The 14336-nt window shown below is 42.3% G+C and overlaps 1 protein-coding gene across 4 annotated transcripts in view; it reads left to right on the top strand.

Moving 5' to 3' along the window:
* Positions 1 to 11943, top strand: part of CHCHD3 (coiled-coil-helix-coiled-coil-helix domain containing 3) — a 297221-nt gene extending 285278 nt beyond the window's left edge. For all 4 annotated transcript variants that reach the window (NR_133671.2, NM_017812.4, NM_001317177.2 and 1 more), the window contains 2 exons: positions 236 to 371; positions 11153 to 11943. Coding sequence is in view for 3 of the 4 variants with exons in the window: in NM_017812.4 (NP_060282.1) it covers positions 236 to 371; positions 11153 to 11176 (160 nt within the window). In the remaining variant the exon portion in view is untranslated. The remainder of the gene's footprint in view (positions 1 to 235; positions 372 to 11152) is intronic.
* The last annotated feature ends 2393 nt before the right edge of the window (positions 11944 to 14336 follow it).

Below are 14336 nucleotides of genomic sequence, written 5' to 3'. Positions count from 1 at the left end.
AACTCACAGTAGTGTCAATTAGTGGAACTAATTTCTTAGAATTTATTTACCCTTTGTCATTTTTATCATGGGAAAAATTTAGCTATCTTTGAAGTTTAAGGAAAATTCTTTCTCTTAAACCTTTTTCTACATTTGCAACATCTGTGTCTTACTGTGCGTTTTATGTGTTCTTTAACCTTGATTTTTATTCTGAATGAAGACCATTGGTCTCAGCGGTCCCTGTGTTTGTTTTCAGGCGATATGAGTCTCATCCAGTCTGTGCTGATCTGCAGGCCAAAATTCTTCAGTGTTACCGTGAGAACACCCACCAGACCCTCAAATGCTCCGCTCTGGCCACCCAGTATATGCACTGTGTCAATCATGCCAAACAGGTAGGTGTGCCAGCCAGGCCACTGGGGGCACTGGGCAAATTGAAAACTGGATGACCTGGGGCAGTGGTAAGGACTAAATGGGCCACTGTGTGTGAAAAAGCTTTCTAAGCCCTAGTCATCATCATCAAGAATTACTGTAATGAGTTGATTAGGGCATAACTTGTGTCCGATCATTGTCAAAGAGCCCATATCTTCCTTATGTACAACTCATTTACTTGCAGAAAAAAGGATTCTACTACAATTATACTTTTTTCCACTTGCCCTGAACTTTTGTCTTCTAATAATAATGTTCCCAAGGTCATTCCTCATACTTTTAGGCCAATATTTAGAGCTAGCGAAGAGGATACAGATTAAGAGCTGGCACCTTTGGGCCCATAAGCCGTAGGTAGGCAGAGGGCCAGGTTAAAAAAAAAACAAAACACCACCGTTCAGTCACTGTCCAACGCTTCCACCAGTTGATAGAGTTCACTTAGTTGGACAGGGAAAGGGAAACCAGAGATAGCATTTTAAAAAGAATTTCCACTGCTTTTATAGACCATAGCCATATTCTTCTCTTGACCCTTCATATCAGAACAATATGATGTTCACAGGACGTGCATTTTCTCTAATTTATGTACTTTAGAAAGCTAATGATAAACCCTGAAGCAAATTATCAATTCTGGCAGGTCACATAATTGCCTATCATTTAACCAATTTAACAGTTGGATATGGTTGTTCTGAGAGGCAGAAATTGTTGGAAACGTTGATTCCTTCTGCTGACAAACTCCATAGATTTGACCTTCTAACCCAACTAAATCTAGTGTTTAAGTTACACAGCATGCCTTTCTGCAGTCTAATTTGATGTAGTTATAATAATATCACTTGGTGTAAAATTTTTATACTCTACAAATATCCGACGGGAGGGTTAGTATTATCTGGATAGCTGGAAAATAAAGTAACATTAGTGGAAAGAATATAATCAAGATTTATTAAAAGCCTATGTTGTCCTCAAAAGCCTAGTGGCTGGCAGCTTTTTTCTGTTTCTTGCTTGTAGCTGCACTTGTATAACTCTTAGTAGTATGCCAGGGATCCTTTTCATTAAAGGTCTTTGGTACAGGTAATGTTGCTAATGTTAAGTTAGTACGTTTTATTTGTCGAAAACAGCTTCTGATATGCTGTTAATAAACCCCAGCCTTCAATATGAATATGAACTGAAGGACTTGAGACTCGTAGGTTGATTCATGGATTTTTCTAACTTGATAATAGTGCCTTATTGAGCTGGTGGTCAGTGGAAAAGAGTGGTTGTGACAAAGTGTATGTTTCAATGCTGGTCTCTAACATACGTGCCTGTTTGTACCATGTGATTTGTAACATTACCACAGTGGCAGCTGCAGGGGCATTGGGAGTGCTGACCCCATCCTGCCTGTCTGGGTTGTGTTGAATTATCTACATATAGTCTTGTGACATCAATGGTATATATTTATAGGATAAAGCAAAGTTAACTTGTGACAAAAGCAAATACGCCACATGGCGCGATAGTGAGTTTGAATCTGGCAGACCTGGGTTTGTACCCTGTCCTTTTACCAGCTCTGTGACCTTGGGGCTTGAGTTTTCTCATCTGTAAATTGGGGTAATGTTGTGAGGATTACCTTTATATAAAGTATTCAGTAAATCTTATTTTTCCCCTTCTTTCCTCAGTTGCATTATTGTGCTGAAATTTACTAAACAGGTCAGCCAAAAGCATCAAATTATTATTAATGATTTCAAAAGAGACCCTCTTTTTTCCCCCTCACTCTCCAATCTTTTATGTTCAGCTAGTATGTTTGGAGTATCTATTGTTTTCGTGGCTCTTATATTCAGTTATTAGGAGGTGTATAATACAAGTTAATAATAAAAAGATAGAAGCCCTCAAACCTTTTTTCCTGAGATGGGCAACATTGAAATGGACGAGAACCAAGAACCTGCACCACCTTACATTTCGGCAGTAGTTAGGATTGCAAGGTCATTTCACATCCATTCTTTTACTTGTTTTTTTATGACAACCTGAGATGTAAATAGAGATGGTTTTATTTTCACCATTTTCCAGTTGAGAGCATTGAAACTCAGGGAAGTCACAATAGTGAATTTAACAGCTAGACCAAGATGTACCTTGCCATAAAAACAAAAAATTTCAAAATACATAAGTGGCATTTGGTTTTTGAGTGGGTAAGTTTGTGAAGGGGCATCCATCCATCATCCACTAATGCAGAAATAAGGCAGTAAGGGAAAGTGAGAGCGAAAGCGATAAAGGGAGGACACAGAATGTGGAAGATCTAATGAGCGGGGGACAGAGTCTGAAGGTCACACATGGGGAGTGGGTTGATGAAGCCCGTGATGAAAGGGGCAACTTGGCACTGGCCCATTTTAAGATCACGCCACAGTGGCCAGAAGGAGCTTCTATCAGTGTTTCATGAGCAGTTACTTTCCTTCCAATACCAGGTTGTCCTTTTGCTCCTTGTGAATTTAGGCTAACCTCATGACCCCAGCTGTGCCCCTGTTAAGAGACTCCGGCAAGATACGTAGTCCCGACTGCCTATTTTAGCAGTTCCTCATGGGCCAACTTCTTACATTTTCTTCTTATGTTTCCTGTTAAATCCAGAGAACAAGCTGGACATGCTAAACATGGAAAATACTATACATGACAACAAGCCATTAGGCAGTGTTGTCCATATCCGACACAGTGCAAGGGTTTCCCCCATGGAATAATTCCAATGGCTAAGTCCACTCCACTTTTAAATAACTCATAAGATTGGCCTTTCACGGGTTCCCTGGGGCATTGTTCTAGAGACTAATAGGTTTTACTGTTAGGAAAATTTCCGGATATTCCTTAGCCTTACTCTTCCTCTCTGCTTATTTATCCACTTATTCATATCAGTGTTTCTTCAGCTGTTCTTCAACAATTTCTCATGGGTTGACATGAGACATTTAGGCTATTATTTCTTGTGTATTAACTTATGTGCTCTTCATGAGGGTAAAGAGATATTAAATAGCTCTAATTATTATTTCTAAGACTTAAAAGCTACCAGCTGGCTGGCTGTATGAGATACAGCATTTACAAAGGAAGGAGCACATCGATTGATACATAGTCCTGTGTCTTTTGTTTCTCATATCTGCTTAGCCTCATAACTTTCTCAAGCTCAGCAAGATTGGATTACCTCTTCTTACCTTTGATACCTGGTTCCCATTCTATCTTGCTACACCTACCTAAGGTAGGAGAGGTGCTGCTTGTACCAAATAGGTCATGTCTCTTCCTCTGAGCGTGCCTATGAACAGGCATGCTTATGCACACCACCTACCTTACAGGAGAAATGGAAAGGAGCGGGAATGAGAAGCCAATAGTATTTGCTCATGGGTAGACCAAAATGTGCCCAAGTTCTGTTTTTTAAAAAAGGGGAAGGGTGTCGAAAGGGTTTGCTGTCAGATCTGCATTACGTCTGGGACCATTCCCTGGGACATACCACCTCTCTACTATTTACTTGTAGAATTGGGCTGCATTGGGAGTTGCTAGTCTAAGCATTTCAGCTTTTTCCCAGCCCTGCTGCTATTGACAGAAAAATGCAGAAGCTGGCTGGACCCTTCTGGCACATTTTGTGTTCACTGGGAGGGTGGGGTTTATAGGAAATACTGCTGCTGCAATCCTAATCTAATTATAGTGACTTGAGCTTCAGTTGCTTTGATAAACTGAAGGTTTGAACCAGGTGATCCATGAGGGCCATCTAGCTCTGTTATTCTAGGACTGATTCTGCTTTGAAGTATATAGAGCAAAAGATGGTGTGCATAAGCATGCCTGTTCATAGGCGCACTCAGATGAAGAGACATGGCCTATTTGGTACAAGCAGCACCTCTCCTTTTGAGACCTCCAGTATTTGTGCCTTCGCCTCTTAAATTTTGCTGTCCACCTTAAACGTTCACTCAAGAAGAACACTTGCATTTCTGATTGGTCTGCTGCTGCCTGGCCTCCCACTGCTACGTACCCTTTCTTTGAGGTTCACACTCCTGACAGCCCTGGGGAAGCCAAGGTGGCAGAAAGAACTGGGAGGGAATAGAAACAGTTTCACAGTTTCTCCAAAGTCAGTGAAGTGAAAAACAGCTGTCTCTGCACTGGCTGGCAGAATGTACCCTGCCGGCTAATAAAGGCCATTAGAAAATGCAGGCTCCCTCCAGCCAGCCGTAAGCCTCCCCTGGATCGTGATGCCTTTCATCCTGTGAAGTACCATGGGAAGTGTGACTCTGAAAACAGAGCAGGAAGCCAGGAACCTGGAGCCTGACAACCAAGGGCAAACTGGGACCAGAGGCAAGGACCAACCCCAGGAGATGCCCAAGGGACAGAGGTCAGTGTGGGACCTGCAGTTAGATGATGAGTCTGTCAGGGGTCCCCCAAACCATAGCAGAAGTTTCAGTCAGTAAGCAGGCAGTGGGACAGTAGCCACGCAAACAGTTAGTTCAGCTCACAATAAGGACGTCTTGTAAATGAGACAGCCCCACCTCAGACCTACATGCTTCCTGCTGATCTCTTTGGAGAGATCAGAAAGGAACCTGGCCACAGTGAGGAACTTGGGGTCAGGACCCAGTAAATGAGGCTAGATCCTAATGTGACAGCTCTCCAACTTAAGGCTAGTGCACCCCGTTGTCTCGTTTCTAAAATATCATTGACATCTCCAGTATTTGGTTGGCTTCCTAAGTCAAAGCCTCAAGATCAGTGCATATGGAGGAATTTGCCCTGGCACAATTTCTGTCCGCCTTCTGAAGGACAATTTCATCTCCCCGGTGAACTGTATTTATATTAGACCAGGATTCTGCTCCTAAGTCTGTGACATATTTTGAGTATGAAGGGGTCCTGAAAACATAGTAGTAGCTTTTGCTTAAAAATCAAGGTTCTTGAAAGAAAAACCTATTGCCAGAGCAAGCTGTATGTTATCATTGTTTTCAGATGAACTCTACATTAGATGCAAATGATTTAATAGACTTATAGGCTGTTGGAGCTAAAAGGACCCTAGAGATCATATAACCCAACCTCATTTTTTTCATGTGCAAAATTAGCTTCCAGAGAATTTAAATGATCTGTAGAAGGGCAGAACCCAGACCAAACAGCCCACTCTTAAATTCAAAACCAGGGTATTTTTCCTGTCGTGTCAGATCTCAGATGTGGGTGAGCATCAGAATCCCCTGAGGGGTTTGCTTAAAATGTACCCACCCAATCCCCATCCCTGGAGATTCTGATTCAGAAGGTCTGGGGTGAGGCCTGGGCATCTGAACTTTGACCAAATTTCCCAGGAGACTCTGTACCCAAAGTTTGAAAACCATTGCTCTTAGAGCCCATTGGCCTGAATTGCATTAAAGGTCTTTGACCTTTCAGAGGTCCTGCCAAGTCCTTGTTTTCCATCTTTTGGGAGATGGGGAGCTATCACTCCCTATAGGTCAAAGCTACCTGGCAGAGGTCTCATCAGACCAACCCTAGGAATGAATCTTTAGCCTTAAGAACAAATTGGAAGATGATGTGGGAATCAGATGGAAGCCTTGAAAAGAGATCCCCTTCCCCTCTTCTCTTGCTCCCATTGAAACAGTAGGTGACCCCAGTCCCCTGGCTAGCTCACAGCTGTGACCAGACCCTCCCTTGGTTCTACTGCTCCCAGTCACCCTGCTTCTCTCCCCGACCCACATCAGGGTCCCCCCGATGTACACGGTGGCCACTTTCAGAGAGCACGAAGATAATCAAGAAGGTTAACTTTCTGGGAAGCCCCCCAGGAGCATGTTTTTATTGTGTTCGAAAGCTGCTTTATCATTATCGCTTGATGACATTTATTAATTGCCCAGCTGGGATGCTGGTCACAGGGTGACTGACACGTGGGTATTTCATAATAGATTTCCCATTTTTTTGGTAGGGCAGCCCTTTGAATTTAGAGTCAGATCAAAGCAAACAAAATTCCAAACTTTAAATTTCCTATCCCAACCTCTTCCATCATAGGAATCCTTTTCTAAACCACTTTCTGAGAGTAATCGTTGCTTCGTGACATTTTCTCTTTTTTTAAATCTGAGTTTAATAGAAGAAATACTACCATGGTAATAGATTTTCATTTTTCTTAATAGGTATTTCTTTTCCCATGGTCATCCTTCAATTAGAACTGCAGTATGTTAGTGTTTTGTCTGTTATTGCAGCCAGCTGTATAAACAGTTAATTACTTGTAACTTAATTTGAATATTATACAGAGCATTTGTCATAGAAGATATAAAACAAGATCCAGGCAGAAAAAAGTTAACTTCTATTTCCTCCAAAGCAGGAGGAACAAAGAACAAACAGCTCTTGCTGCAGGGGAATAGACACATATTGAAAACAAAATAAGTGATCTAATCAGATTTCCAGGTAGTGAAGAACAGTACTTGGTGCACAGGCAAAACTCGCTTTGTGCTTCCCATAAATTCAATTTATAGATGACTTTTCCTTCCTGTCTTATGCACAGTCTTCTCATTCTGGCTTTTTCCTCATCGAAGCTCCAGTGTCTCCCACTCCCCACTTTTCCTGACCCTCCTTAGTAAAACTCGTGTCTTAAGACCAGGTCTGTGCCAGGACACATCTCCAGTTTCATTTTTCCTTGGTTAGGTAGACCTTCCTGCTTCTCTACCCAGCTTTATGAGGCCTGAAGTCTTGGTGAGGCGCTGGGTAAGTTCATCCAGAGACAAGCACCCTGAGTGGTATCTTAAAAAACAAACCGCTTTTCTTCTCTTCATGATGATTGGTTAGCAACCCAGGGTTGCCATCATTTCTCTTAAATTATCAACACAACCAGTAGCTGGCATGCTGCTATGATAGTCAACCCCTCCAAGAAAGCTGTGATTCAAAAATCAGTTGATGAGATTACTGCTTAACAGAAATATTTGAGGCAAGCGGTTAGGATGGTTAGTAAGGTTTTAATAAGCGGAAATGACACGCAATCTCAGGTCTCCAGGGGCGCTGTTCTTATTTGTGAGCTGCCGGTTGTTCTTCAGTGGCTGGAATGAGAAAAAGACTTGGGAAAAGAGCAGTGTTCATGCCTGAACCACTCTCTTCTTTTGGTGATTTACCCAGCTGTTTATAAAAGGAGTTTCTGCAGGCCCAGATACGTGAATGATGAGCAAAAGCAAGGAATTTCTTTCTCCACATTAAGATTAAGTGTTAGCAGTTCCTTAAATGAAGGAAGCAATTTTTTATAACTTGCAAAGCTTCTCCCTCATTCTTTAGGGAATTTCCTATGTTAATTTATGCAGTGTTAAATTTATGCAGCGTTGAAATTCAGCCCAACAGCAGTACTTACGGAACCAATACAGAGACAGTAGAACCTATAAGGTGAAAGCTGAATAACACAGACCCCACCAGACTACGGATCCCTCCAGCCAAAAGCCCTGAGTTCTGAGTTGGAGCAGGTTTTGTCGCATAGCTGGAATATAATAATAACCCAAAATGTTTGACAGATGAATTCATCTTTTTTAAAAATCCAGCCTGCCATTGTGTTTGTTAATTTCCCTGATAGAATTGAGATGGTTTTGTACCACCCCTGCCACCCTTTGGTAGCAAGTGAGTGCAGTTTGACAAAATGTTTATAGATCAGCCCTGGTGCTTTTCTGTGGTGGTCCCACATGTCTTCAAGGAGTCACCACAAATCAGCTGAACCACTGTGCTATCTTGGAGGATTAGAATTTTAATACATGTAACGGTATTTTGTGAATGTGGCTAAAGGGGTTATTAAAATGTTACTTCTTTTAGTGTCTTTATGTGAGACTGGCCTGCTCATCCTCAGACCAGCCAGGCCCCATCTTGTCTCTTTCTGAAAGAGAGCCTAACATTCTTAGCATGATATGATTTGGCTGAAAAATTACCCATCTATATTTGGTTGAGGTTGCAGAGAGAATAGTAAAAACAATCTCTAGACTCGTGAAAACACTCTTTAACTGTTGCTTTCCTTAAGTTGTGGCAGCTGCAGGTTATTTTGCAATATTTGAAAGGAGGTACATTGTCATGTGGTTATCCTTGTAACCCTAAGCCCAAAATTGTAGAGAGGGGTACAGCTATGTAATCTTGACCAGGCAGATGACAACTCAAAGCTCCCATCAGTGTGTTGAAGAAAGCAGTGAATCTATAACCCCCCCAAATGCAAATGGCTAAGTGGCATCATTTATAAAGAGATCACTTTCTCTAGTAACTGCATTCCCTTAGATAGGCTCAGTATAGATCTGCTTGATACTGGCTTCCATTTTGTATTTAATAAAGCATGATGTAGTGAGGTTGTCTATATATCTGGAATTTATAGAACTTATCATCTATGTGATTGGAGAGGCTCACACAGATCAATTCATAAGCAGGTGAGCATAGCTGAGATGCTGTGACGCTGTGACACTGCCAGGTGGTGTCTCTTACATGGTGGGTGCTCAGCGTGTTATTTTCCCAGCGAACATGGGGCTGGTGCCTCACATTCCAGTATGAGTTCTTACAGGACAACTCTCTGCTGAGCAATCTTCCACTGCACCTACTTTGTTTTTCCTGTTTTCCCTAAATGCATCTAGCTTTTCTAATTTACCTCCTGTATGACAGAATCATTGTTTTTCTCACCACTGTGTGTGTTATGTCTAAGTTTGTCTGCCTTTATATCTGTTCTTTTGTGCCCTATGACATAGACTTCTTAGAAACCTATAATGATGAACACTTTAGGATAATCTATCCACCCTTTGCTCCTATGACCCAATACACCATCTTGTTTGACTTCTACTCTTTCTGTTCTGTCCCCTTAATTTCAATCATTTTTAAATTTTTGACCCTAAATTGTTGTGTCTAGAGACCTTTGACCTCAGAGGGCCTACAGCGTCCTTCTAGACATTTCCATTTTGGATGTCTCACCCAAAATTGCCTCACAAACCCAAAATTTAAGTCATCCTCCTCCTTCCCAGGCTCCCACTGACTTCCCTGTTTCTCTTGGTGGCCCCATCACTGTCTTTGTCACCAAGGATCCTCCCATACCTTGGGTGTCACCATCTCCCTTTTTCTTCCCATGTAGCTCTAGTTCTTGTTTCCACCTTTGTCTGGTTTCTAATCTGCCTCCTCCTTGGGCTTCCTGCCTGCAGACTCCCCTCTGTTGGATCCATCATGCTGAGGATGTCAGGTTAACATTCCTAAATGCCATTCTCCTATGTAAAAGCATTCCTCCATGTTTTCTGTGGCTAGCAGGACATGTCTCAGCCTGGCGTCCGTCCTGGGCCCTCTTTCCACCCTTTCTCTTGGTCAGTCCTGAGCATGTACCCTTTCTTCCAGCTAGGCCTCTCCCCTCAGGATTCTGTGTGTGCTAGGCTTCTTCCCCTGCTGAATCCTGGCCACCGCTTTCTCCCCTCACTCCTCCCAGTCCCACCCCAGTCCTCCACCTGGATTCTCTCCATGGTGGAAGGTCCTTGGAGAAGCCTTCCCTGCTCGCTCCAGCTACAGGGTTGCCCTCTGCACCAGGCAGAACCATTCCTCTTGTGAACTGTGACCATCTCTGGAAGGGGACACAGAAACTGGGAAACGGAAGGAAAAAATTACTTTCTACCAGATACTATTTGGTTCCTGTTAAATGTTATGCTGTTTACACAATAAATTTTAGCATGTATTTAGCAAATAAATAAAAATTAGCAAATTATTACCTTTTATTATTCCTGAATTTTCCACAGGTGTATGTATTAGTTTCCCCAATGCACTAAACTGAGTGCAGTGGTACCTGGTAGGAGCTCAATGAAGAGATGGCTGGAAGGGTGCGGGTTGGCGGGAGGCAGGTGGGAATGGATAAACTAGAGGCAACCTCGGCCTCACCTTGCCTCTCTGAGTGGTTGCAAAACTAGAGGGGAAAGTATCACTTTTTTCTTCTTAAAGACCTCTAAAAATGAAGGCAGTATACCCCCATTTCAGCTGGTTATAGAGTTCTCATCTGATAGTTAAGAATTCTTCCTATCTACATCCTCATCTCCCAAATAAATAACTAAATAGAATGTAGGGACCATTTCTGCAATCTGGGAATAGGTACCAATCTGTGTAGCTCTGTCCAGCCTCATGAGCACATGAACATCTGCGTTCTCCCCCTCTGGGAAGGAATCTTGTGTTTCTCTAATGAAGAGATTCCCTCTCAGAGCCTTTGGAGTTGGGGTTTGATCCCTGCACTGCCTTGGCCATAGCTTTCCCCCGGTCACTGCATCCATCAGCCATGCTCCCAACATTTCCAAATGCCCCTACCAGGAGCACTTTTGCTTTCTATTTGAGACAGCAAAGACTGTTGCCCAAGCTGGAGTACAGTGGCATGATCATGGCTCACTGCACCCTCTGCCTCCCAGGCTCAAGGGATCCTCCCACCTCAGCGTCTCGAGTAACTGAGACTACAGGCACACACCACCATGCCCAGCTAATGTTTTTGTTTTTGGTAGAGATTGGGTTTCATTGTGTTGCCCAGGCTGATTTCAAGCTTCTGGGCTCAAGTGATCTGCCCACTTTGGCCTCCCAAAGTGCTAGGATTACAGGCGTGAGCTACTGCGCCCGGCCTTGTTGGGGTTTTCAACCCATGTGGTGGTGAGAGGGGTCATTTAAAGATCATATTGATAAAGCAATGGTGTTGATTAAAGGAGCAATATTTTGAGAACAGGAAGCATATGCCTTGTTTTCTGTGTTTTTAAAATTAGATATTTGAAAAGCAACACAAATCATACTAAATAGTTAGTGCCATTTATTTTTTGTCCTCTCCCGGTGGTAAAACTTACTCTTTCTGTTTTTCTTGCAGAGCATGCTTGAGAAGGGAGGATAAAAACTTTCAGAATGAGCAAAACACCATCAACGTTAATTCCAGAGATGGAACATTTTTTTTCCTAGTGAGAAAACAACCCATTTGAAGAGAAGACCACTAATGAGAAGACCACTAAAGAGAGACATCAAGAATGGATTCAGCAGAATCATTTCACGTTTTGAACAGCAGCAGTTTGAAGGGCCAAAGCCTTGATCAGGGATCAGTCATTAAAGGACACTCTTGAGTATTAGTAAACCCTCTTATGATGATTAAAAGAGAAGGGCAGCCCTCTCCACCTTTTGGTACTTTCTATTCAACTTGCACTGACCATAAAATGTTTCTCTTCTGAACAAGCCCCATCATTTGGTGAACCTCCACCCTAACAAAGTAGGATGGGGTTGGGGGCTAAATTAATTGGAGTGGGGCGAGGAGAGAGCCAGAAAACATAGATCCGAGGGCAGCAGTGCTGGGTGGAGAGAGCCAGAAAACAGATCTGGAGGCAGCAGTGCTGGATGGAATTGTCTAGGCTGTGGCATGTTGGTTTTGTCTTTCTTTTCTCCTTTGATTATGTAAGAGCTATTTCATTATAACTTATTATGGTGATTATACAGGCAAGAAGACAAAAAGGAGAGAAAATGTACCTCTTCTACTGGAATAATGTTTATGATTACAAGTGAGATAAGGTATTTTTATCAATATGAAGGCAACCTTGGCTGATAAAACCTCTATAGTGAATACTCACATCTTTACTTCACTCACTATCAATAATAAATATATTTTCTGACAAAGACTGGCATTGTAGCTCCTCACACATTCCTTTGGCTGGGTTAGATGTCTATGCTTACGGGAATTGAGCTGATTTATATTGTTAATAATTTGCATTTGTGCTGTACCTTTCCTCTCAAAGGCTCCAGAGCATTTCGTGGAGCCTCCGACAGGCAAGTGATGCTTATAACTTGCCTATCAGGTAGGTAGAATTCGGGAAGATCTTTACAAATTGTGTGAACTTTCCTTTCTTTGGGATGACTTAAGTCATCCTGCCTGGGGCAAGAACTAGATTAGATAACCTTGGTTAGGACCTTCTGACCCTGCAATACTAAAAAACGTTTAAAGAAAATAATTCAACCATTAGGTTTTTTTTTCCTCTTTCCAATTTTTCAAAACTTCCTGATTATAACTCTCCCTTTTTTTTTTTTTTTTTTTTAACCATGATTGGTGCTTCAACCCTGGAGTTGAGTGAGTTGGAAATAAGTAGTCACACTGAAGCTAAATGAGAAGGTTCTTTTCAGACATAGGAGTACCAGTGCTCTGTGATATCCTTTAAGTGTCTTTTGTCATGTAGGATTTTTATTTTATTACGAAGCAAGTGAATTTAGCAAAATACAGGTTCTGTATTCTTAATCTGTGTACAAATTCTGGCTCTGCTGTGGAATTCAACCAAGTCAACCAATACTTCTTCAACTGCAAAAAGGGGGCAAATGGAAGAACTAATTTTTAGGCTTACAGTGAAGAGTCCAAATGCTGACTCACCGCATACGTTTGGTCAGACCCAGTAAATGCTGGCTTGTGTGATGATTCAGTAAACTGGCATTTGGCGTTGGGGGCATAGAACGTATTCACATGCCCAAGTACCTTTTATTTAAAGTTGGATGTACTTGTGATGGAACAGTCTCAGCCAACGCATGTGAGTGTAACTGCAGCTGCTTATTCATTCAGGTTCCCCAGGCGATGGCTCCCTCCGAGTGACATGTTCATAGACACTTGGGGACACACCTGCTGGCCTAACGTTGATTCTGAGCAACACTAGAGGCTCTCCTGCCATAATTACTGATATCCTCTGTGATGACTGCTTCATGAAGTTTTTTTTGTTTGGGTTTTTTTGTTTTGTTTTGTTTTGTGGGGGGCTTTCAGGTTTCTTTTTTAATGGTCTGAAAGAAGCTGAGTTTATTTCAGTGTGAATAAGGATTCACTGGTAACTTGAGGAGCAGCACATTTTGATGCTGTCAGGGTGGCATCCAGGTAGCTGCCTGAGAGAAATGGAAAAACCTGAGAGACACAAAAACAAATGTTTACATGGCGACTTGCTCTAGTGTTTGCAAATCAGCTAACTCACAAATTCCCTCCTATACTGTTTTGTTTTGCAATTGAGAGCCAAGCACTTGGCACATCCCAGGCTGCCAGTCTTGCCTCTGGCAGGCAAATGCAGCGCTGTAGAGTCAGGCGTCTAAAGTGGGCGAAATCCAGGGGAAGGGGGGTTGGTTCGACAGGCCGCTCCTCCCAGCATTGCTTATTAATTTATCATTCTGATAAGCATGGTAGGTGCAAGACAAAAGCCAGCGCTTTGGGGAAGTAAAAGGATGAAATGATGCCTTTCTCTCCGTCCTTGGAGAGCTCCCTGCTGATGGCATCACAGCTCTGCCAGGTCACAGTAGCTTTCCAGACCACTGCTTGGGAAGAGTGTTGTGATTTATATGAGGCTGTGGAGTGGTACATTCCAATCAGTTTCTCACTTAAGTAGAATGCACCTTCAGCCACAGTAGCTTAGCTCATGAAGCCAAGAAGAATAAAGTGTCTTGAAAGCTGATCAGAGGATATCACACTAAACAAATGTTTGAGGAACTTATAGAACACAGCTGGGTTGAATCAGCACGAAGTCCTCTTTGAGAAGTCAATAACATTACAGTAAACTTGCCAACATGCACTAGTTTAGAAAAGTATTGACTAATCATGATTAGTAGCAAATGTAGACTGCTAAAAGCCAGATGCCTGTGGCCAGTTGGTCAACCCACAAGACTCCCTACAACAGTTTTTAGCTTAGAACTGACCAGGTAGTCACATGTCCTCGACTTCTCGGGCTGAGAAATGGAGAATGTGTGGTTCTTCACTTGCTGTCTTCCAGCCTGCAGGTATAATTGCTTTTGCCAGAAACCCACATTGCAGTGAGCTGTAGGAGATGACCCTTTTGAGATTTAAGAATTAAAGCAACAAAATCTCAGTTAGATTAGGAGGAATAGTTCAAGAGATCTGTTGTACAACATGCTGACTGGTTAATAATGTTACAACGTATTCGTGAAATAATTTTTTTAAAGAATTAGCAGTTGAACAATTGAAAGGGCAGCAGTAACTTGCTGTGATTCAAACCAAGTGAGTTAGGAAAATAGTCTGTTTAGAATTAATCCTC

The sequence above is a fragment of the Homo sapiens genome, chromosome 7, assembly GCF_000001405.40.
Source record: "Homo sapiens chromosome 7, GRCh38.p14 Primary Assembly".
NCBI classification, from domain to species: Eukaryota; Metazoa; Chordata; class Mammalia; order Primates; family Hominidae; genus Homo; species Homo sapiens.
Note: the sequence above shows the minus strand (reverse complement) of the source record. Positions and strands in the feature narration are given on the sequence as shown.